At 46.1% G+C, this 24,949-nt stretch overlaps 1 long non-coding RNA gene across 1 annotated transcript; it reads left to right on the top strand.

The window, feature by feature from the left end:
* Positions 1–2,623: 2,623 nt before the first annotated feature.
* On the top strand, positions 2,624–24,253 carry LOC107986674 (uncharacterized). The gene is made up of 5 exons (XR_001744483.2): positions 2,624–2,791; positions 5,309–5,465; positions 19,290–19,383; positions 20,325–20,410; positions 21,028–24,253. It is a non-coding gene; the product is annotated as an uncharacterized LOC107986674 (long non-coding RNA).
* Positions 24,254–24,949: the final 696 nt, after the last annotated feature.

Here is a 24,949-nt window from a genome sequence, read left to right on the forward strand (position 1 = left end):
GCTCCGGGGAGATCCCAAGAGAATGAGAATGGTTGTTGATTTTTGACACCCCCAATCTTACACAGCCTAGCATGGGAAGAGATTCGGGCCAGAATAGAACAGATCTGCCTTCGCCAGCTGGACACGTCAGCGGTGGGGTGAGGATGGATAGGTCAGTGGGCTCACTGTCCTCCACCATGAAGTCCAGACAATGACGCCCAGCTTTTGGGGCTAAAGCAAGGTCTGGTGAGTGGACAGGGTTGGGGTCACAGGGCTGGTGAAAATTCAAGCTCAGGCTGGCTCTGGCCACTATGTGTCCTCCCAAGGACATCCTGGGGGCCCACACAGGGAGGGGTGCTGCTGTCCCCTTGCTCCTGCCCCACTCTCAGCAGCTTCCCCAAAGGTATTGTCAAGACACTGAGGATCGCCATGAGTCGTGCTCATGGGGCACCGGTTCTGCATGTGCTCTGCATTCCCCCGTGCTGCTCCCACACAAGCTTTTAGAGGCGGCTGCCACTGCCCTTGCCTCGCGGGGTCAGCAGCGCAAACTGTGCCCTGCAGACGTCCTCTTTCCAGCTCTGCGACAAAGGGCTGCCTTGCCTGCTCTCCTGCAAAGGCTTTTGCTTATTTTAGTGACGTGCATCAAGTGTACATTGTAAAACCATTTCTCTTAAGCCTGCAGGTGTAACTTAATCTTTTATTTGTTCATTAATAGAGCAATTTTGATGTGAAGACTAAAAACACACATTTCCTGTTTCTTTAATACTCAGTGTATACATTTTGCAGATTAAATTTAAATACGTATTTTGGACCAGTTATTTGATAAAATTTCTTCAGACGTTGTTTTTCAAACCATCATCATAAATTTAACATATCTGATTTTCGTAAGTACTTCAAACCCCTAGCAAGGGAAAACTGTAAATCTAATGAATAAGATCTTCTCAGGCAATTAGACAATATTTACAAACAGGCTGCTTGACTCAAAGGTGACTTCCTTAAATCCGAGTTTCTCAGCCCCAGCACTGTGGATGTTTTGAGCGGGTAATTCTTTGTTATGGAGGCTGTCCTACAACAGGGTCTTAAGAGGCCAGCAGCACCTCCCAGTTGTGACAATAAAAATTATCTCCCCACAGTACCAAGGTTACCCCTGACTGGGAACCATTGCCTTAAGTATTTAAACACTGATGAAAAGCTTAATCTTTTTAAAACTTTAAAATTCTTAAGCATTTTGATAAGCTCACAAATTTATACTTCAGATGCTCATAAACTTCAGATGCCTTTAAAAATTAAAATATCAAAACTCTTACAAAGCTCATTGCTTCAAGTCCAGTTGACCGATTACCAAATCAGCCAGAGAATTTTCTTCTCTGGCTGTCTACACCCCTGTCTCCCTTCCGGGACTTTCTGACCCTGCTAAGGGGATGTGCTCACCCAACTAGAAGCTGTGGAATTACCTCTCAGGCTGCCTGAGGTCACGCACTCATGGTTTCTGGTCAGAGTCTCAGGTCAGAGGACAAGAACTGAGGGTTGAGGTCAGAGATTTGGGACCAGCAGGGGCTCCGGGGCGCCGCTTGCGGGGTGGTGAGCCCCGTATTGGCTCCATGACTCCTTCATGGGGCCTCCCAGCCCACGCCCTTCGCTGGGCCTCGCAAACCTCCCGGGATCCGGTGAGTCCAGCTTCCTTTGTAGCCTTGTCGCTTTAGAAATGTTATTACTCATTTTGACCTGACAGAGTTTACCGCCTTCTGAGCCAGCCTTTCACGCGATTGGCCAGGTAGGGCCCTGAACGCCTGTGTGGGTGGATCAGTGCACACACGCGCGGTAGACGTGATCTGGGGCTCGCAGGGCCTCCTGGTCCTGCTGCACACGGCTGGCCGACCCTTCCTCTCAGCGTTCCCCTCTCAGACTCCATAGATAATGATGCTTATTTTTAACAGCGACGTTATTATTTGTGGTTGAAGTTTTACAGCAGAGCAATTTCTGATCTCAGCTCTAAAGAGAACATCTACCTCTGTGGGTTATTTTCCACCGGTATGTTTGGAATTTGCTTGTGCTGTAATTTGGCAACTCCTGAAACTTTAGCCTAAAAAATTTTGTGTGAGGTTTTGAAACGATACTTAGAAACCTGAGAAAAATATAAAACACTCTCAGATCCACACATCAAGCATGAGGCCTTTTCCTAAAGTACTCAGTGTTTGTTGAGGGAGTGAATGGAGGCCCCCAAGCCTTCATTAATTCTGATGCGGACCCCTGAGCTCTCCTTGTCCTCTGGGCTCGCGACTCCCTCCTTCTTCTGAGGCAAATGGGGAGGTTTGAGCACAAACACTCACTGGAATTAAGCCTGGTTTGTAGGACTCGCGGGGGAGGGAGGGGAACACCAGCTACAGAGTCAGGGACCCTGTCTGGGGCTCCCAAGGCTCACAGCAGGTGTTCAGCAGCAGGTGACGCTCACACCTGCCTCTGGTTGGGCCTGTTTAACTGCTCACACCTGCCTCTGGTTGGGCCTGTTTAACTGCTCACACCTGCCTCTGGTTGGCGGCCTATTTAACTCCTCACCTGCCCGTCTTCTACTCTGATCACAAAGATCCCTCGTCCCCGCCCCCCACAACCCCCTACAACCTCCTCTGTTTTGCATGCGAGGTCCCTCACAGCGTAGGCTCAGGCCCTAGGAAGAGTGGAGGAGCTGCTGGAGCAGCAGATGCGGCGAGGACTGCTGGACCTGGGGATCCTGCTACCTGGCCTGTTGCCGTCTGTGGCCCACCAGCCCCATTAGGGCAGCAACAACGCCCAGAGGAGCCTCTCGCTTAACCAGGTAAGAATTCGGAAGGAAGTCTTTGGCTTATGGCTGCTGTGGACTGAAATGGATCCCCCAGGATCCATGCACTGAAGTCCTAAGCCCCCTGTGACGGTGTTAGGGTGGGGTCTTTGGGAGGTGCTGAGGTTGGATGGAGTCCTGTGGGTGGAGGCCTCAGGATGGCACAGGTGTCCCTGCAAGAAGAGAAAAGGGAGTGCTGGCTTCCTCCTCGGCCTTGCCAAGCTCAGTGAGAAGGTGCCTCTGTGAGCCAGGAAGAGGCCTCAGTGGACCCTCCTCTGCTGGCACCTTGACCCCAGGCTTGCAGTCCCAAGCTGGGGGATGGGCATCTGCTGCTGAAGCACCTTTGGCTGTGGCTTTGTTTATGGCCTGGGCTGGCTCGGATGCTGGTCTCAGCAGCCTGGAAGAGAACGGGGTCAGGCCGGCACCCCCTTGGAGGAAGCGAGGCCGGCAGACGGGCTGTGTGCGGGTGCCTGTCCTGGCCTCAAGCGCTCCGCGCTGTCTCCTTTAGGGAACGTGGGATGTAAATCCACACTGATGTGTGGCTTCTCATGGCCTTCCTCCGTGCGGATAAACGGCGACCCCGCTTTAGTAGCAGCCAGAAGTGAATTCCAGACAATATGCACGGAGTGTACGGGCGAGCCCTGGCTGCACTGTGGACGATGACCAGGCCCACGGGACAGCAGCCGGGTCCGCCCGTTTCCTCCTGGCCCCATCTGGTAATCAGGCTTTGCCCTGGGCAGACTGCCCGGCAGCCTGGGCCGTGTTTGTCTTGGCGCACGTCCTGCGTCCGCTGCTGGTTCACGGTCGTGGTGCATCTCTTGCGTGAAATGTGCCCTTGCCTCACAGCCCCACCGTGTCCCTGTGATATGTGGGTACGAACACAGGCCCCTAAGCAAGAGCAAATTGCATTTCCTCCCCAGAGGGACGCGGTTCTTCCTGAGCTCCGGGGACCTCGCGGTAGCCTTCAAACACATGGCAGTGTGGCACCCTTGAGTCCCACAAAGCTGAGAGAACCTCATGGTCTGTGTTACTAAACTCTGTCATATCCTGAAACGATGACCTCTCCAACCCATCATAATCATAACAATGAATTTCAGATATGCCTGAACACCAAAAGCAGTAGGTAAAGGTGATTTTTCTTTGTTTTCTGAAGCCGGAGGGGTATGAACACTCCCCGGGCACACACTCGCACACTCCCTGCGTGAGTCTCAAGGCTGGACAGGGCATTTCCACAAAAGAAACCTGTGGAAAGCAGCCCTTCTTCTTGGCGAGGCCTGGAAGTGGCTCGGTCCCTGAGGACGTGGGGGGCGTTCTCCTCAGCGTCCACTTAGGTTTCAGCGAAGAAGTCCAGGACATTGGTGCAAGCAAACACGGTTTTCCTCGCCAGCTCTTCTTTCACTGTGTTGTGATTGGGTGTTGGGTCTGTTGATGGAAATAAAGCCAGGTCAGCATCAGCAGGGCTGACACGAGGGAGCCCACGTTGAGCCGGAGCAGCCGTGGGGGCTTGGGCTTTTAACAGCTTTGTCCAAGTAGGCACGGGTAGCCCCAGTGTCCCGGGAGCTATGAGTCCCAGTGGCACCCACAACCTGTTGAGCTAGGAGGCCTGGAGGGGCAGGTGGCTGATCCGTGGCAGCTCCAGGGGCCCGCCCCTGCTGAGCTGGACAGCAAATATGCCAACACCACGCAGGGGTGATTTTACGACAGGAAGAGAGGCCGGGATGTGAGTCTTCCCGACCAACCAGGCCCCGGGAAGCTGTGGTGGAATTTCACGCTCAACTGCAGGGCACTGTGGGCAGGGATGTATGTCTGCTGACCCTGGCTTGCACCCAGGCTGACCGCACAATCCCCGTTCAGTGAGGGAGGCAGCTGAGTTCAAAAAAGATCGGGTTTGAGCGGTAAATACCACTCAGGTCTTCCTCCTCTTGGATTTGATTTATGTTTTCTGGAGCCGAGCAAACATACCACACTGTGGTCCTTGCTAGGGAGGGTGCGCAGTATTCCTCAGGCTGGGGCCACCTCCGACCTGCACAGTGGACTCACGCCGTCCCCACACTTGCCCTCTTACTGCCCCGTGCTCTCTGGAGTTGGGACCCCCTGGCCTGGAGATGTACCCAGAGGAGAGAGTGAAAGGGAGGAGCCAACGCAGAGACTGGCAGGTCTTTTTGCAAAAACCAAGTCAAGTGCCCCGTGGGCTCCACCCAGGAGAGTGCCCGGGGGTCCCCTGGGTAACAGGGTTAATGCAGCCCAGGCCTGCCTGCCCCCAGGCTGTGGGGTGCGGGTGCGTGCTTGGCAGGAGCAGGCCTGATGCAGAAGGGGATTCCGGGGCCTCCCCATCACGCTGCCAGCCTTTTCCCATCCTCCAGGGTGCTGCTGAGGCCAAGGGAACTGGGTCAGGGCAGGGTGGCACCTAGGAGCTGCCAGCTGCACTTATTTTCATTTTATTACTAGCTTTTTGGTATCCTCGGGGAACTGTTTCTGGCCAACTCACATTCACCCCTGGCCTGTACCTCACAGGTTCAAGGAGCAGCTGAACCTCGGCCCACATCTCAGGGAATCAGCAGTGAGTCCAGATCTCACCGCACCTTCCCGGAAGTCACTTGGTCCCTGGAGATTCAAAACCGTGTGAGGCACAAACAGCAGCGATGGTCTCTGGTCTCCACCGACTTGGCCGGTAAGCGGCTGTGGGACCTGGCAGGTCCAGGGGTCTCCACGGCACAGTGAGGACGAGCTGGCCCGGACCTTGAGTGAGCGTTGGGTGTCGGCACAGTGCAGGGGAGCTGCCAGACCCAGGGAATGGCGTTCTCGCTAGTTTAGAAAGCAAAGGGTCTGCCTAGTCCTAAGAGAGTGGGGTTTCCACATAGCCTGAGGGTGGGCAGTGAAGAGGAGCTGCGGCTCTTACATGCCGAGCTGCTGAAACGAAGCCCCAGAAACCCAGCGGCTGGACCAGCAGGGATGCGGCCTCCCACGGTCCTAGAGCCCGGATGTCTGAGAGCCAAGGCCGGGCGGGCCAGGCGCGGCCCCTCCAAAGAATCCGGGGAGACTCGGCCCTGCAGCCCTCCTGGCGACTCCTTCCTCGGCCTGCAGACGCTGCCCCCCAGCCCCAGCCTCCGTCTTCACGTGGCGTTTCCCCGTGTCTATGTTCAAATTTCCCTCTTCCCCTAAGGACACCAGCCGTTGGACCAGACCCATCCTAATGACCTCACCTTAACTTGGCCATATCTGCAAAGACCCTCTCTCCGACTACAGTGACATCCTGAGGCTCCAGGGAAATGAATTCGGGGGCACTGCCCAACCCAGCCCAGTGCCGCGGCCCATCGGGCTCTGCGTCGCCTGTGACTCCTGCCCCACGTCTCTGCAGGGTCTCTCTGCCGTTTTCCAGGTTAGGGAACCGAGGTCAGGGCACGTCTCTGCAGGGTCTCTCTGCCGTTTTCCAGGTTAGGGAACCGAGGTCAGGGCACGTCTCTGCAGGGTCTCTCTGCCGTTTTCCAGGTTAGGGAACCGAGGTCAGGGCAGCTCGGTGAGCGCCCACACGGCAGGAGGCTGCCTTTGAGCCATATTGTCTGACCACAAAGTTCTCATAGAGAATGATTGTGCCGGACTCTGAGCTGACCTTCCAGATACTGTGCGGGCCAGGGAAAGAGAAGCCCATGTGCCCTGTGTTCAAACGTTTAAAGTTACAAATCAAACTAAAAGTGTGCTGGGGGCCCTGACCCAGACAACGCGCCTGACAGACCACACTGGAATCCTTTGGACCCTGCCGAGCCCTGTGCAGAAGCACGAGGTGTGGAGAGCACAGGACAGAGGCTGGGGCTCCAGACCTGCCTCCGGTCCCACCTGCCCGCCGGCCCCACATAGGGCCAGGCCCCAGGGTGAAGGGTGCTCACTTCAAGGGGGCGGCTGAGGCAGACCCTGCAGGCCTGGAGCAGCAGGGACTCTGGGGGGCTACAAAGCCCAGACCACCGTGCCAGGTTGGGTTCTGTGTGGACGTGGTCTGGTCTCTGCATGCTCCATCTGCGAGGGTGTCCGTGCGGCCTGGGCTGGGCTTGCTGCCTGAAGCCTCCTGCCTGCCCTGTCTGTGCCCCACACCCTCCTTCTTTGCCAGCTCTGAGTTCCTTCCCTGTGAAATTCTCATCTTCCTGGGTCCCTTGGGAGCAAGACACCACCTCAAGGAAGGCAGAAAGTGGAAGCTTCTGAGCCTGGGACGCAGCCTCCTCCCTCACCTGCCCCCTGCCAGATGAAAGGCCTGGCTCCTGCCGACAGGGCTTGTTTTCCTATTGTTCTGCAGAAGCATGTAGCCCGCCGCCTCCTCCGTTAACAGGCATAGGCTTCCTCTGTCCACTCTTTTGCTGGGATCTCCAGGACCCAGTGCTTTTTCCAGGAAGCACCCTTCCCCGCTCCTGCCCCCACCATCTAGCCCTGAGTCTTTAGGAGTCGCAAGGTGACCTGACTTAGGCAGCAGAGCGGAGACCGGCACCTGCCACCCCCGCCCCAGCCCTCTCAGTAGCCCCACCCGGCAGCCCCTCTGTCCAGGGCCAGCCCTGCCTTTATCACACAGTGAAGGTGTTGAGTCTCCAGTGTGGAGCTCTCATCTGCTCTCTCCGAAAACACTGGCCCAGCATCCTTTCCCAAAGCCCTATGCTGGGCCCTGGGGAGGGAGAGCCTGGGGAGGGGTGAAGCTGGCTCTGCAGACACAGTACGCCGGTGTGAGAGGCCACCGGGCTCCGGACAGGGAGGGCGACGCCTGCCCCATCAGGCCAGCCTCAGGCCCGGGATTCCACAAGTCCTTCCCTTCTCGGAAGCACTGCAGGGGCTCAGGTAGGGTTTGACGCTTGCTGAGGTAGGATTTGTACCTAATGAATATGTGGGAACACACCCTAGAAGCACAGCAAATCACCTTCAGAAGCAGAGAAGGGGGGAACTGCTGGAGGAGTGAGAGCATGGGAGCCGGTGGGGCAGGCAGGGGATGGAGGCTCTCGGCGGTGAAGACGGACGGGGGCTCTCGGCAGAGAAGACAGACACCGGGGCTCTGCCGCTGGACCTGACTGGGGTCCACTCTCCCCACGCAGCAAGGCCAGATGCTCACATGGGGTTTGCAGTGGGAGAAAGGAAGGCACTAATTTGCAGGGCGCTGAGCCGGGAGACTCAGGCAGCTGGTGCCTCAGTCCCGACCTGCCCAGTGGCCTAAAGGTGAGGTCTCAAAGGTGGGGGTCATGGGTGACCCGCAAAGTCATATATCATCAGCACATGAGGGCTGTCCGTTGGTTCGATTTGGAAAGGCAGCCCACAGGTCACAGGTGGATTCAAAGATTTTCTGATTTGCAGTTGATTGAGGAGGCAAAGCTTTGTCTAAACTTTAGGGATCCGCAGAAGAAAACATTAGGTCTGGCTCATGGGCGTGGCCTCCCCCAGGCCCCTCAGGCAGAAATTTAGAACAAGGAATGGGCTCAGAGTTCTGCCTCAACTGCACCTTTTCCGAGGTCTGCGAGCAGGGGACGCATTTGGTCTGGGTTTCTGAAAAGCGACTCGGGCACATCATGAAGAGGGTCTCTAGTTTCTACCAGGAGCTAAACGTCTCGTGACTGCTGCTTCCTTGGCTATTGTTTTAAGCTACTGTTACCTTCTTGTTTGTGAAGTTGTTCATTTACTTCTCAGGGCGAGCTGGGTACCTGAAATTTCTCTTGAAAGAACTCAAGATTTTCCTTTATTTTCATGCTTGGGGGTGGGGGATAAGACTCCTAAGAGGGGTCCCTGCTTCGTCTCAGCTTTGGGTGCTGAAGCGGTGGGAAGGTGGGAGAGCATTCGGCGTGTGGAGGATCCACTGGGCAGGGCGGCAGGCAGGCCATTCCTGGTGATTGTAAGGGCACCCGCTGCAGAGACAGTCCTGTGGCCAAGCCCATCTGGGAGCGCATCGCCGGCCTCCAGTGTCCCAGAGCTGGTGCACAGCGGACACTCGGGGTCCACAGAGCTGCGTGAGGTGGGATGGGCAGCCAGGAAGGGGTGTGGGGCTTCTCTCTGCAGTGGACACACTGGTGGCTCTGGGCGAAGAGCGGTGCTGTTGGAACAGGCACAGCTGAGATTCCAACACTGCAGGTCCTGCGGACATGGCCCAGGTCCCGGGAAATGGTACCCAAAAGACAGGCAAGATCTACTCAGAGCGCGCAGGCCGAAACCAGGACAGGGATGAGCACGGGCCGCAACCGGGACGGGGACGAACGCTGGGAGAATGGAGCAGCCACTGCTGACGGGCACCTGAGAGACAGGACTTCGGAGCGGCAGCTTCACAGCAGGAAACGCGTCCTTCTTGGGGATCACACACGGGTGCAGACACATACCTGCCGATCCTAGGAGCTGTGCAGAACCGCCCTGGCCTGGCCACGTGGGACACATTCTGGTATCTTCTTCCGATTTTATTCTATAAAACAAAAACCAAACAAAACAAACATGTCCACTGGTCCCAATCCTCTCAATTTATTTCACAGCTTACTAATGAGTTACCACATCCCAGCATGGCCAGGGATGTCCTTGCTGAGATGGTCATTTTGGAAATGACCCTATTTCCAAAAGAGGCCCCAGGCTGAAGTACTGGGGGTTTGGACTCTAACACATGAATTTGGGGGGCACAGTTCAACCCCTTATGGCAGGGTGCAGAGCTGGTGAGTGGCTGAGCCCCAGGAACGTGACTCCAGGCACCGGTGACAACCAGGCTGTGATGACAATGGCACGCAGCTGCTCAGGGCGTTCTGCCTCTCGCCCCTCCCTCGTCCTCCCAGATGCGGCTGGAGGGGCCCGGGGTCAGAGCCTGGGCCGAGGCTGGTTTGTCATTGCCCCTGAGGAGTGGCCCCACCCTGGGGGTTCCAGTTGCTGTTGTCTGGAGGTCTGTTCACCGGGACTGCGCTGGTAACCCCCGCAGGGCAGCACTCGGCCAGAGCAGGGCTCCCGGGAAGTCTGCAAAGACACCCGCCGCAGATGTCTTTTCCAGACCTGTCCATTTGATTTGTTTGTCCAGAGAACAACAACCAAAAAAAAAAAAAAAAAGCAAGGGAGCAATGCTGACACCATGGAGGATGCGGGGAGCAGAGGGAGGCCTTTTCCGACCCTGCAAACCAGGCTCCAGGCTCCTGTAAGATGACCCAGGCATTCCCGGGAAGACAGGAGGGCACGTCTGTAAATCACAGCCTGCGATGACAAGAGGGGCCTCATGAAAATCAGCACCTTGTGTTTTTAGGGGCAGATGGAGCTGAGCCCAGGACAGGCAGGACAGGAGGAAGGTGATTTACAGCCTAAGCTCTCCCCAGCACGGCTGTCTCTGGAATGGCCTTGGCTGGCCAGAGGTACAGGGAGGGAGACGGCCTCAGGCCAACCCAGGGAGGGAGGGAGGCTGGTCCAGGGATGCACCGGCCCTGGAAGGTAGAGGCCAGGCGTGGGGGGTGAGTGTGGCCATCGCCTGACCAGCCCTGTGGGAAGGGCCCTGGCTGGAGATAAGAAGTAACAGCAGTTAAAGGAGTCTCAACCCACTGGTCCACAAAAGGGCTCTCAGAGGGTTCCATCTTTTACACAAGCAAAGCCAACCGTAAAGAGTAAGAGCAGAATCAAGAGCTTTCAGAAGAACAGGGAGAAGATGGTGCCCAGAGAGGCAGAGAAGCTGACGGGTGAAAAGTGACACTCATTGAGTAGATTTTACTGTCTTTTGAAAGAAAATGCAGAGTGTTCTTTTGGCGACACCCCATGGCTTCCACCGCCGCCACTTACAAAATGCCCACGGTGTGGCAGATGCTTTAGCACGAAATGACCAGTCTGCACCGCACACCCGTGAAGAAGATTCTGTTACACCCACTTTACAGACAAGGAAACCCAGGTTGGAGAGAGTGAGTGAAATTCCAAATGTCACAGAATTAGAAAGTGGGGACGTGCGGTTTTAACTTTCGCTTCCTCGGCTCAACACCTTTGCTTCTTTACTCCACCTGACAGGTATCACACAACACAAGGAAAAGACGTATCTGAAGTTCCAAACTAACGTAGACTTTTCAATGAATGACTGATTCTAGACATCCTTCGAGTGAGAATCCAGGACTTGTCTCTGCTGCTAGCTCAAGAAGGAGTGGAAGCTTGGGATGCCCAGGCTAGTTGATGGTTAATGTGGTAAAGACATTAATTGAAGGTCAACAGGTTTTACTTCCTGGTTAAATCCAGTGCTTACTAAATTTTGTTTTGACCGTGAAATCACCTGCCCTCACTTTTCTGGAAGGACGTGGCACTAATATTCCATGGAACATTTAGGGCCGGCTACTCGGGTGCAGATGCAGTATGCTGTTACTTAAAATGAAAGCTGGCTATATAATTTTTAATTTTTTTTCAATTTGAAAGTAAAAATTTCAAAAAATAACAATTTAAATTTTAAATTAAAACTTCTAATTCAAGTTTAAAGTAATTTAAAATAAATTCAATATTAATATAACCTTTAAGAAATTTAAAAAGTACAGAAGGACATAAAATGCAAAGTACCTCTTCTCACACTATGTCAGTCAGGGTTCTCCACAGAAACCAGTAGGAGACACAGGTATGTGTATGTGGGTATCTGCATCTGCAGCTGTATAAATAGAGATAGAGATAGGGGGAGAGAGAAAGAGAAACAAAGATAGACAGTATTTAACAAAATGATAGCTATAAATTTTCCAAATATGATTAAAACAAAAGCTTACAGATCCAAGTTGTTCAATAAACCAAGAGCAGACTAAACAGAAAGAAAACCACAGCAAGGGACACCAGAATCAAATTGCTGAAAACCAGTGACAAAGTGTGAACCCTTCAAGCAGCCAGAGAAAAAGCAGGTAGAGAGATGAGGATGAGGATGATGACAGACAAACCATAAAGACGGCGCAGTCCAGACATCGGTGAAGATGCATCCTTAAGGAGCAAGGTGGGCAGTTAGACTGGAATTCTTTATCCAGGGAAAAGGCCATTCAGAACTGGAAGTGGAATAAATAAACACTGACAGAACCCAGCACACCTGCAATATGAGAACACAGAAGGGAACTCTTCAGGCAGAAGGAGTGTGATGTCAGATGAAAACTAATCTACACAAATAAAGAAGGCCAGACATAGTACATATGTAGTAAATAAGAAAAATGTTTCTCTTCCTTTTAATCTTTTAAGAAGATAATTGATGTTAATATGGTTCTGGTCACTCTATCTGTAATAGTGTCAATGAAAATAAAATTAAATTGAGATTTTAAAAGATAATTGGCTATTTAAAGGAATAATAATCACAATGTATTCTAGGGGTTACAGCATCTATGGAGATGAAACGTATGAGAACAAAACCACAAAGGCATGAGGTATTAGAATAAAGGACGCTCTTGCAAGGCTCTTTCTTCTAACCTGAGCTTGGATGTTATTATTAAAAAGTGGACTGTGATACACAAAAGGTGAACATTGTAAATCCTGGAGCCACCACTTAAAAAAATAGAGCTAATAAGCAAATAGTGTATCAGCAAAAATTTAAAAATAATTAAGAAGCTGACATTTGGTTTTCAGTCAGCATGTGAGGAGTTTGGAAGTCACCACTCCATCCTAACCACAAGTGTAAAGATGAACAAACGGAAAATCCACAACTCTTCTTAGATCTGTCGGAGAAGTGAGGTCACAGTGTAAAGTGTTTCCCCAAAAATTGGAGAAACAGGCAAATACAGAGAATCACAGCTTGCTGGAGCAGAAACGCATGAGCCAAAACTTCTGTGGGAACCAGTGCTGGGGCAGGGAGACCTGAACTGAAATTGAGGAATCGGTGGAGGCTTAGCGTGGACAAGCCTGAGCATTGGGAGCAGCTCACAGGGGCCCCACACTGTTGTGAGTGTTGCCTCCTGGAGCTTCTCCAGGTTCACCCACTGAATATTGGAGAAATGTCCCCTCATGGTTCTGGCAGAGGGAGGCAAAAAGGAACCATTCTGAGAGATACTTGAGCATTCTGTTCTCCTTAACAAGAAACCAGCTAACCAAGCCCCACCTGCAGGGGTTTTATCAGAGCCAAACCGACCTGGGGGGAGGTAAATATCCAGCTCCAGCCCAATCCAGTCATCCTGTCCCACCTAAGAGAGGAAATATTTGTGAAGTTCACAGACCAGGGGCACAGGCTCACTAAGACCGAGACCTAATCACAGGACTGTAGAACAGTTCCCCTCCCACACAACTCAGTCACATCCCTAGAGGCCTCTGTTTACAGCAGTTCCTTTCACCCAGTGCATCATATCCAGAGTTCAAAAAAATTACAAGGCATACTAAAAGGCAAAAACACAGTTTGAAGAGAAAGAGCAAGCATTAAAACCAAAGTTGATGTAGCAGGAGTGTTGAAATTGTTAGACCAGGAAGTTTTTAAACTATAATTAATATGCTAAGAGCTTTAGTGGAAAAAAAGACAACATGCAAAGAATATGTGAAAAATGTAAGCAGAGAGATGAGAATACTAAGATTATTTTTTTAAGTCCTAGAAATCAACAGCACTAGCAGAAATGAATAAGGTCTTTGGCAGGCTCATCAATAGACTGAACACATCTGAGGAAAGAATACTTGAGCTTGACACTATGATGATAGAAAGTTCAAAACTGAAAAAGCAAAGTGAAAAAGACCATGAAAAACAGGAGATACTATTCAAGAACTGGGGGACAACTACAAAAGGGCAATGAGAAAAACATCTGCATAATGGGACACCAGAAGGAAAAGAAAGGAACACAGGCAGTATTTGAAGCAATGATGACTAAGAAGTTTTCTAAATTAATGTCACATCCAGGAAGTTTACAGAATACCAAGCAGGATAAATGCCAAAAACTACACAGAGGCATATCATATTAAAACTGCAGGAAATCCAAGATAAATAAGCCAGAGGGAACAAAAACTTTACCTATAGAGGAGCAAAGATAAAAATGACATCCCTTTTTTTCTCAGACACAGTATTAGTCCATTTTCACACAGCTATGAAGAAATAGCTGAGACTACATAATTAATAAAGGAAAGAGGTTTAATTGACTCACAGTTCCACATGGCTGGGGAGCTCTCAGGAAACTTACATCATGGCGGAAGGAGAAGCAAGCATCTTCTTCCCATGGTGGCAGGATAGAGAGTGTGTGTGAAGGATGAAGTGTCAAACACGTGTAAAACATCAGATCCCGTGAGAACTCACTATCACAAGAACAGCATGGGTGAAACCTGCCCCATGAACCAACCACCTCCCACCAAGTCCCTCTCTTGACACATGGGGATTACAATTCGAGATAAGATTTGGGTGGGGACAAAGAAACAAACCATATCAGACACCATGTGTGTTAAGCTCTTCTTGCATTGCTATAAATAAATACTTGAGACTGTGTAATTTATAAAGAAGAGAGGTTTAATTGGCTCAAAGTTCTGCAGGTTGTGCAAGCATGGCCGTGGTATCTATTCAGCTCCTGGGGAAGCTTCAAGGAGCTTTGACTCACGGCAGAAGGCAAAGGAGGGGCAGGTGTGTCACGTGGTGGAAGCAAGAGCAAGGGAGAAGGAGGTGCCACACACTTTTAAATAACCAGATCTCACAAGAACTCACTCTCATGAAGACAGCACCAAGGGGGTGGCACTAAACCATTCATGAAGGATCCACCCCCATGATCCAATCACCTCCCACCAGGCCTCAGTTACATGAGCTTTTGGGAGGGCAGAAAATATCCAAACTATATGAGCATGCAAACAAGAAGAGAGTAGAATGAAATATTTAATACTGAGAGGAAAAAGACCCCCACCAATCTATAATACTGTACCCAGCAAAATTATCCTTCAAAAATGAAGGAGAAATAGAGTCTTTTTCAGATAAACAAAAAATGGGATTTTTTTTGTCTGTAGACCCACCTTGCAAGAATTATGAAAAGAACTGTTTTAGAAAGATGAAAAAAAATAGATCAGAAACTAGATCTACAAAGAAAGAGCAGTGGAGAATGAATAAGTGAAGATAATATAAATATTGTATTTATTCTTATTTTTTTAAAATTAGAGACAGGGTCTTCTGTCACCCAGGCTGAAGTGCAGTGGCAGAATCATAGCTCGCTGCAGCCTCAAACTCCTAGGCTCAAACAGTCCACCCACCTCAGCCTTCTGAGTAGCTAGAACTACAAGTGCATGCCACCATAGCTGGCTAATTTTTTTTAGAGGTGGGGTCTTGCTATGTTGCCCACACTGGTCTCAAACTCCCGGCCTCAAGTGATCCTCTTGCTTTGGTCTCTCAAAGCACTAGGATAACAGACATGAGCCACCACACCTGGCCATTTTTCTTATTCTTAATTGGCCTAGCAGACAACAGTTTGTTCAAAATAATAATAGTAACAACGTACTCAATTACGTATGCTTATACCTATATCTGTCTCTATATATGCTTATGTATAATTGAAATGAATGACAACAATGATACAAGGAATAGAAGGGAAGAATTAGGATTGTTTTGTTACTATAAGACATTTGCACTACCCCCAAAGTGGTATAGTGATACTTGAAAGTGGACTTGGATCAGTTGCAAGTGTATGATCCAAACTCCAGGACAACCAATAAAAAAAAGTTATAAAAGGTAAATATTGATAGGTGAAGTAAAGAAGGAAAATGGAATCACATAAAATGCTCAATTCAAAGTATAAAAAGCAGAAAAATGTGGAAGACAAAAATAGTAACAAACAATGGCAAAAAAAGTAGAAAATGGTAACAAATATGATAGATATTAATCCAAGTATATCACTAATCACTTTAAACACCAGTGGTCTAAGTGCACCAATCAAAAGACTGAGTTCGTCAGAGTGGATCAAAAAATAAGACCCAATTATATGTTGTCTACAAGAGTCCCACTTTAAATATGGACACACACACATGTAAAAGGATGGAGAAATATATACTATACTAACACGAAAAGAGCAGGAGTAGCTATGTTAATTACAGACAGAGCTGATTCCAGAACAAGGAAAATTATCAGGGATAAAAGAGGGGAATTACATAATAATAAAGGGGTAAGTTCTCCAAGAAGGCATAATAATCCTTAATATGTATATGTCTAACAACATAGCATCAAAATACAAGAGGCAAAAACTTATAAAACTGCAAGGAGAAATTGATGAGTCCACTATTATAGGTGCAGAATTCAATACCCCTCTATCAGAAACAGGCAGATCCACAAGGCAGAAAATCTGTAAAAATATACTCAAACTCAACAGCATCCTCAATTAACTGGATATACTTGACATCTACAGACTATTTTTTTCCAAGAAGAGCAAAATACACATTCTTCTGAAGCTCACAGGAAACATTCACCAAGATAAACCACATTCTGGACCATAAATTTTGAAAGTATATAAACCACCCAATGTCTGCTTTCAGACCACAATCAAATTAAACTAGAAATCTGTATGAGAAAGATAGCTGGAAAATCCCTAACTACTTGGAGATCTGACAGCACATTTCTTAATAACACATGAGTAGAAAACAAAATGTCAAGAGAAATAAAAATATTTTGAACTAAATGTAAACACAACTCATCAAAATTTGTGAGACGCTTCAGAAACAGTGCTTAGGGGCCAAGGGCAGTGGGTCATGCCTGTAATCCCAGCATTTTGGGAGGCTGAGGTGGGCAGATCACTTGAGGTCAGGAGTTCAAGACCAGCCTGGCCAACATGGCAAAATCCCATCTCTACTAAAAATACAAAATTTGCCAGATGTGGTGGTGTTTGCCTGTAGTACCAGCTACTCGAGAGGCTGAGGCAGGAGAATCTCTTGAACCCGGGAGGTGGAGGATCCAGTGAGCTGAGATCATGCCACTGCATTCTAGCCTGCATGACAGTGAGATTCTGTCTAAAAAAAAATTGGGTGTGGGGGCAGTGCTTGGGGGAAATTTATAGCATTGAATGCATATATTAGAAAAGAAGAAATTTCTAAAATCAATAAACTGTTTCCACCTTAGCAAAGTAGAAAAAACAAGACCAAATTAAATCCAAAGTAAGGAAAAGAAATGAAATAGTAAAAATAAGAGCAGAAATCAATAAAATTGAAAACCGGAAATCAATAAATAAAATCAACAAAACCAAAAGCTGGTACTTTGAAAAGACCAATAAAATCAATAAGTCTCTAGCCAGGCTAACCAATAAAAAAAGGGAGAATGTATAAATTACTAACTTAGAAATGAAAGAGAGGACATCATTGGAAATCCCATGGACGTTAGAAGAATAATGAAGGAATATTATGAACAACTCTGGGCCCATGAATTTCATAACCTAAATAAAATGAACCAACTCTTTGAAAGACACAAGCTGACAAAACTCACACAAGAAGAAGCAGAAATTCTGAATAGGTCTATATCTATTTAAAAGATTGAATCAATAATTGAAAACTTTCAAAACAGAAAGCAGGCTCAGATGATTTCACTGGTAAATTCTACTGAACATTTAAAAAATGAATTACACCACTTATCTACAAACTCTTCCTGAAGATAGAAGCAGAGAGAATGCTTTCTAACTCATTCTTTGAGGCCAACATTACTCTAATACTGAAGCCAGACAAAAATATTACAGGAAAATAAAACTGTAGATCAATATACTAATAAGTAAAAATCCAAAAATGAAATTTTAAAAAATCACACTTGCAAAATCACCAATAAGAATAAAATATGTAGAAGAAACAAATGTAACAAAAGAAGTGCAAGGCATATACCCTAAAAGCTACAAAATATTACTAAGTTTTAAATATCCCAGTAAAATGGGGGACATTCCATGTTCATGGATTGGGTGACTCACTATTGCTAAGATGAAAATTCTTCCAATTGATTTACAGATTGAATGCAATCTCTATTAAAATATCAGCAAATCTTTTTTATGGAAGTTGATAAGCTGATTTTACCATTTATATGGTAGTAAACATAACCTAGAATAGCCAAAACAATTTTGAAAAAGAACAAAGCAGGTGGATTTACACCACCTGATTTCAAAACCTGCTAAAAAGCTACCATAATCAAGATAGTGTGGTATTGGTGTAAGAATAAATACATAAACCAACCAAGCAGAATAGAAAGTCCACAAATAAACTTAGGTTTATGGTTAATTGATTTTTGATGATGATACCAGTGTAATTCAATGGGGAAGAATAATTTTCCAAAAAATAGTTCTGGGATAATTGGCTAGCCATATACAAGAAAATAAACTTAAACAGTTACTTCACACCATGCACAAAAGTCAACTCATAATATGTCAAAAACTTTAAGAGCTAAAACTATAAAACTTCTAAAAAATAGAAGGAAATGTTTATGACCATGATTTAGGCAAATATTTCTTAGATATGACACTAAAAGCATGATTCATGAAGAAATTTTTGATAAATTAGGCTTCATAAAAACTGAAACTACTACCCTGTGAAAGACAGTTAAGAAAATAGTGTTTTTTAAAAGCCATAGACTAGACTATAGACTAGTAGAAAGTATTTGAGAAATACACATTTTAAACATAAGATTTATATCCATAATACTTGAAGAACTCTTACTACTCACAAATAATTAGATAAACAACCTAGTTTTTTAAAAAACTGAGTAAAAGATTTGAACAGACACTTCACTAAGGGAGCTAGAATGGGAATAAGCATACAGAAAGATGTTGACTTCATTGGTGATTAAGAAAATTCAAATTAAATCCGCAATGAGGTATCACTACACTAGGAATGGTCAAATTTGAAAAAAATCTGACACTACAAAGTGTTGGTGAAAATGTGGAGTAACTGAAGTTTTCATACGTTACTGATGAAAATGCAAAGTGGTACAGACACTTTGGAAGACACTTGGCAATTTAAAAAATAAACTGAAAACACACAACCTGCCAATCTCACTCCTAAGTACGTACATAAGGGAAGTGAAAACTTATGTTCACACAATATCTTGTACTCAAATGGTCATAGCTGCAGTTTTACTAATAATATCCAAGAAGTGGAAGTAACTTAAGTGACTCTCAACTAGTGAGTAGATAAATAAATTGTGGCATATATTAAAAAAATGAATTCTATTCTGCAAAGAAATAATAATAAAAGGAATGAACTGCTCATATATGATGCAATAATGTGAATACATCTTGAAAACATCCTAAGTGAAAGAAGCCAGATGCAAATGAGTACATACTATATGGTTCCATTTATATAAAATTTAGAAAAGGCAAAACCACAGCGACAGACAGAGGAGTGTTGCCAGCGCCAGGGTTGGAGGTTGGGGGGACAGTGGCTGTAAAGGGACAGAAGGAAATTCGGGAAATGACGGAAATGTTCCATATGTTGATTGTAGTGGTGATTTCATGACTATAAAGTTACATTTGCCAATTTGTAACACTACAGTGAAAATTGATGAATTCTCTTACACATAAATTATACCTCAATTAAGCAAATTTTGCTTGAAGCAATAAATCATTTGTAGGAATTTAGCTTAGCCACAGGTTGACCATTAACTATTTCACCATTCACCTCCTTTGAGAACTTCCAACTTCTTCTGAATAAACCTTGGGACTTAAGGAGAACCTGCAACAAATCCAGCTGAATCTCTGCACTCCCATAAAGAGACCTGGCAGGTGAGCTTCAGGGTGACATTTATATAATGTGTGTATATATATGTGCCTATGTATATATGTATTTCATAAAACTGCTTATCAAATGACATAAGTTGTGGCATAGTTGTTCATCAAATCACTTTAAAATTTTCCAAATCTTATTTTTAGAAAATTGCTGGTGTGATTTATTTTTGTTTGACAAGATTGACAGTAGCCAAGTGGTGTTCTATCTGAAGTCTGATTTGACATCAGGAATGGCATCCAGCTCTTTCCCTGGTGAACAGCCATGAGGCCACATGGCCAGCATGCACTTGAATATGAAGGGCGAGATGTCCATTCCTCATGCTGCCAGCCTGTTCCTGTGTTGCCACCTCAGGCCTTGTCACCTCTCCCCTTGGTGCCACCAGGTGGCATTATTGGGTGACTTGTACCCATAAGCAGATTTTTCTCATCTAGTAGGGAAACATTTCAATATTTTGACAACTGGGGCATCCATGCTGATCTTCTTCCTGCAGGATCCTCGCTGGCTCAACTGCAGCAGCTTCTGCCCCTCCACATCTTTCCACATTTCTGGCTGTGAATGACCTACAGACGCTTTTCATCATCCTGACCCTATTAGCCAAGTCTCTTCTTGGTCTACATAATCCTGATCCTAATCAGCCCTTTTTTTATTTTAGTCATTCTGTCCCAATGTAAAATTACCATAAGAAAGCTATCATATTCACATCAAGGACACTCTGTCTTAGCTAAAGTGTGGTATCATGGAGTCATGCAGGTAGTTGGGGTTGTTCTAAAACATGTCCACACATCCCTGGACAGCTCTCATCAAAAGATGGAATCTAACTCCCCTCCCTCTGAATATGGGCTGGACTTAGTGACTTGTTGGTAACACATAGAATGTAGTAGAATTGTGTGTGACTTCTGTGGCTGGGTAATAAAAGAGATGTAATTCTTTTCAGCAGTCTCTCTCAGAACATGTCCCTTGGGAGCTCCAAGTCAACCTGCAACAAATCCAGAAGCTTCCTTGCCTGAGAGACCACATGGAAAGGTTGTGTATAGAGAGAAATGCCTGGGTAGCTGCAGCTACTGAACCTTCTCCCCATCAACCACTAGACACAGGGCATGAGTGAGTCTGTGGGTGACTTCAGCTCCCAGCTTCAGAGCTTCCCCAGACCAGGCCAAGTGAAGCAGAGATGAGCTGTCCCCAGTGAGCCCTGCCCAAACTGCAGATTTGTGAGCAGAATTTATGTTATTGTTTTAAGCCACCAAGTTTTGTGATGGTTTGTTACATAGCATTAGATAACTGGAACAGTTGCGGAGGGTACCAATTCTACTGGTTGTCGAAAACAGCCACAGCACCTTCCTTGTCTCACAAAACAGTATTATTAATGCTCTTTATCCATGGTCTAAAAACACAGCCTCAGTTTACTACAGGGTTGAGAGGATCTCACACTGGGATGTTTGATACAAAGGATCAAATACACTATACTCTAATTCTGTATAGTTTTGTCTGCTAGTCATCATCATCTAAGGTTTGTGGTGCCATTCCAGGCCTCAAACAGGAACATTGGAGAGATAAAATAATTGGAGAGATAAAATAATTGGATAGACATGTATCTCCTTGGGTGCCTGGTAGGTAAAAGAGTCTGAATCCTTATTTTCTAGGTGAACTCACCATCTTTGGAGTCACCTGATGTCTATAGCTCTTGTTGGGTAAGGGTGAAGATTGCACTGTGAGAGCCTCAACAATGAACACTAATATGATTTGGGAACAAGATATACAAGAAGAGATAGACTATGAACCACCTTCAGATACAGAATAAGAACAAAAAAAGAGAAAACAAAATACAGGTTTCTGAATCTGTCATGAGGCATAACAAGACCTAGGCCATCTGGTGACCAAAGAATTAAAGACTGAGGGTCCTCAAAAACTCTATTGAAAAAGAAGAACAAAATTAGAGGACTCACATGTGCTGATTTCAACTTACTACAAAGCTACAGTACTAAGTACTTGTATTGGCACAAAGATAGACATAGATGAATAGAATAGAACTGTGATTCCAGAAATATATCCTTTGTTCAATTGGTCTTTGATACACCAAGATAATTCAGTAGGGAAAAGAACAGTCTTTCAATAAATGGTGCTGGGGACAACTGGACATCCACATGCCAAAGTATGAAGCTGGATGCTTACCTAACGCTATGCACAAACATTAACTCAAAATTAATTAACATTCTAATGTGACAGCTAAAACCATAAAGCCCTTGAGGGAAACATAGCAATAACTATTCAAGACCTTAGATTAGGCAATGCATTCTTAAACACCAAAAGAAAAAATATAGGTAAATTGGATTTCACCAAAATGAAAAACTTTTTTGCTTCAATAGATGACATCAAAGAAGTAAAAAGACAACATACGCAATGGGAGAAAATATTTGCAAATCATAGATCTGATGAGAGACATGTATCTAGAATATATTAAGAACTCTTACAATTCAATAAGAAAAACAAAATCCCCAATTACAAAATGGGCAAAGGATTTGAGTGGCATTTTCTCCAAAGAAGATATGGAAGTGGACAATAAGTACATGAAAAGATACTCCGCATCATTAGTCATTAGGGAAATGTACATCAAAGCCACAATGAGATACCACCTCACACACATCAGAATGGCTGTATTTAAAAAGACAGACAATAACAAGTCTTGGCAAGGATGTTGGGAAATTGGAGCCCTCCTTGCTGATGGAAATGTAAACCGGTGCAGCCACTTTGGAAAATATCTGGCAGTTCTTTGGACGTTAAACACATAGTTATCACTTGACCCAGCAATCCTAAGTGAACATCTAAGAGAAATGAAAACATATTTCCACACAAAAACATGTACAGGAATGAGATGATTTGGGTGTCAACTTTAATGGATTAGGAATACCCAGATGGTTGGCAAAGAATTATTTTCAATGATTTGGTAGGCACTGAGCCAGGAAGGGCGAATTCTTGCTCTCTCTTCTGCCCTTGGATGTCAGAACTCCAGGTTCTCTGGCCTTTCATGATACTCCATACAGCACTGCTTCTGACCACCACTCACCATCCATCACCCCTAGTGACCTGCTAGAGGAGTTATTACTTCCTATTTCCAACTTTATGCTCTGCTGGCCTAGAGGTCTTCCTTCCATAGGGAGAAATGCTACCACCAGGAGATACAACAATAATTCAACTGAACTGGAAGTTAAGATGCTATCTGACCACTTTGGGCTTCTCATGCCTCAGAGTCATGCTAAGAAGGGAGTCAAAGTGTTGGCTGTCTGACCTGATACCAAGAAGAAATTGGCCTACTCCTTCACAAGGGAGAAATAGGAGATCCTCTAGGGCATCTCTTGGTGTTACCATGCCTGTGATTCTGGTCAATGGGAAATGACCACAACCCAATCCAGGCAGGCTATGAATGTCCCAGGCCTTTCAGGTATGAAGGTTTGGGTCACCCTGCCAGGTACAGCACGGCAACCAGCTGAGGTCTTGCTGCAGGCAAACAGAACACAGCAGGTGGTAGAAGGTCATTAGGAGCACCAGCTACACCCACGGGACCAGTTACAGAATCAAAGGCTGCCACTGCCATGAGTGTTTTCTCCCTGTGTTGCTACGAATATGTTTGCATGTAAATATACATATATTAGGCAAATTTTTCTTCTTTTCTATCTTACTCCTTTATCATATGAGATGTATTGAGTTTGCATCAGTATTTAAGTATTGTTAATTTTACACCATAGTGTTTAAGTTACAGGAGAGGAGTAAATGTCACTCAAGGACTTCACTTCCTCCTCTGGGGAAGGAATTAGTGTGTTTTTATTGTACGAATTGTATCATGCTAGGTGGAACTATGACCTTGTCATTATCTTTTTAAGAGATTAAATATGGTTTAAGGAGATGCATGTGGGTGCCAAGTTGACAAGGGGTGGACTTGTGATGGTTGATTATAAGTGTCAACCTGACTGGATCAAGAGATGCCCAGGTAGCTGGGAGGCCATTGATCATCCTCAGTACTCCAGGAGGCACTGAGCCCATCCCTCTTCTGCCAAAAGAGAAACCTAGGAAGATTGGCATTTGATTAGAATGATTGATCTGTCCAAGGTATGTCTGTGAGGGTGTTTCTGGGGGAGACTGAGGTGTGAGTTGTTGGACTGAGTGGGGAAGGTCCACCTGCATTGATCTGCCCTCAATGATCTGGGCTAAAGGCCTGGATGGAACAAAGGTAGAGGAAGACTGAATTCTTGTTTTCTCTTGGGGAGCTGGGACCCCTTCTTCTCTTGCCCTGGATGTCAGAACCCCTGGTTCTCTGACCTTTGGACTCTGGGACTTAACACAGTGACCCCCTGGGCTCTTGAGCCTTTGGTGTCAGATTGAGAGTTACACCATCAGCTTTCTTGATTCTGAAGACTTCAGACTTGGACTGAACCACTCTACCAGCTTCCCTGGTTCTCCAGCTTGCAGATGACCTGTCATGGGACTTCTCAGCCTCCAAAATTGCATGAGCTAATTCCGCTAAAAAATCCCCTTCTTATCTTTCTCTCTGTACATGCATCCTATTGGCTCTGTGTCTAAGAAGAGCACATACTAAAACAAAGAATGTCATAGGGAACTATTCAAAATAGCCCAAAATGGAAACTACCCAAATGCCCATCAACTGATGAAAGGACATAAGGTGGGACACACACACACACAAACACAAACACACCCAACATACACAAAAATACAAAAACACAAACACACACACACAAACACATACACACAAACATACAAACACAAACATACAAACATACATACACACACACAAACAAAAAACAAAAAAAACACATAAAAATACAAAGACACAAACACATAAAACACACAAAAATACAAAAACACAAATGCACACACAAACACACGCAATGGAATATTATTCAGCCATTACAAAGAAATGATGTGTGAATCTATGAATTATTTAAAAAAGGAAAAGAAAGAATGAATTACAAACACATGCTACATGCATGAACCTGAAAAAATTAAGTGAAAGAGCCACAAAAGACCAATGTTGCATTGTTCTGTTTATGTGAAATGTACAGAAAGTGAAAACCTGTAGAAATAAAAGTGGATTAGGGTTGCCAGGGGAGGAGAGAAGAGGAAGCAGGAAGTAACTGCTAATAACAGCTTGATTTCTTTTCGTATGTTAAAAACACAGAATTGTATGCATTTAAAGTATATCTCAATAAATCTGTTAAGAAAAACCTCGTTGAATGGCATTTGTTAAATTCAAAACCATTTATAGACGAGAATTGCCGCTGCTGTGCTTTCAGGAGTACAAGTGTTCCACCAAATGTTAATACGCGTTTTGCAAGAAAAGAGCTCCATGCGAGTAAGTTTGGGAAGTGCTGGGTTAAAAACGACAAGCAAGTTTCTTTAGTGCAATCACGGAAGAGTGTTCACTGTGCTAACGTGAACTGCAGCCTCCAGGGTGAGGGAGGGAGGGGCCGGCAGTAGTCTTGCTCCACATACACGATTTGGGTAGAGTTTTGCAGAAAGACGCAAATTCACAGGGAACTTGGGTGAAGGGGG

Source organism: Homo sapiens, chromosome 6, assembly GCF_000001405.40.
Source record: "Homo sapiens chromosome 6, GRCh38.p14 Primary Assembly".
NCBI classification, from domain to species: domain Eukaryota; kingdom Metazoa; phylum Chordata; class Mammalia; order Primates; family Hominidae; genus Homo; species Homo sapiens.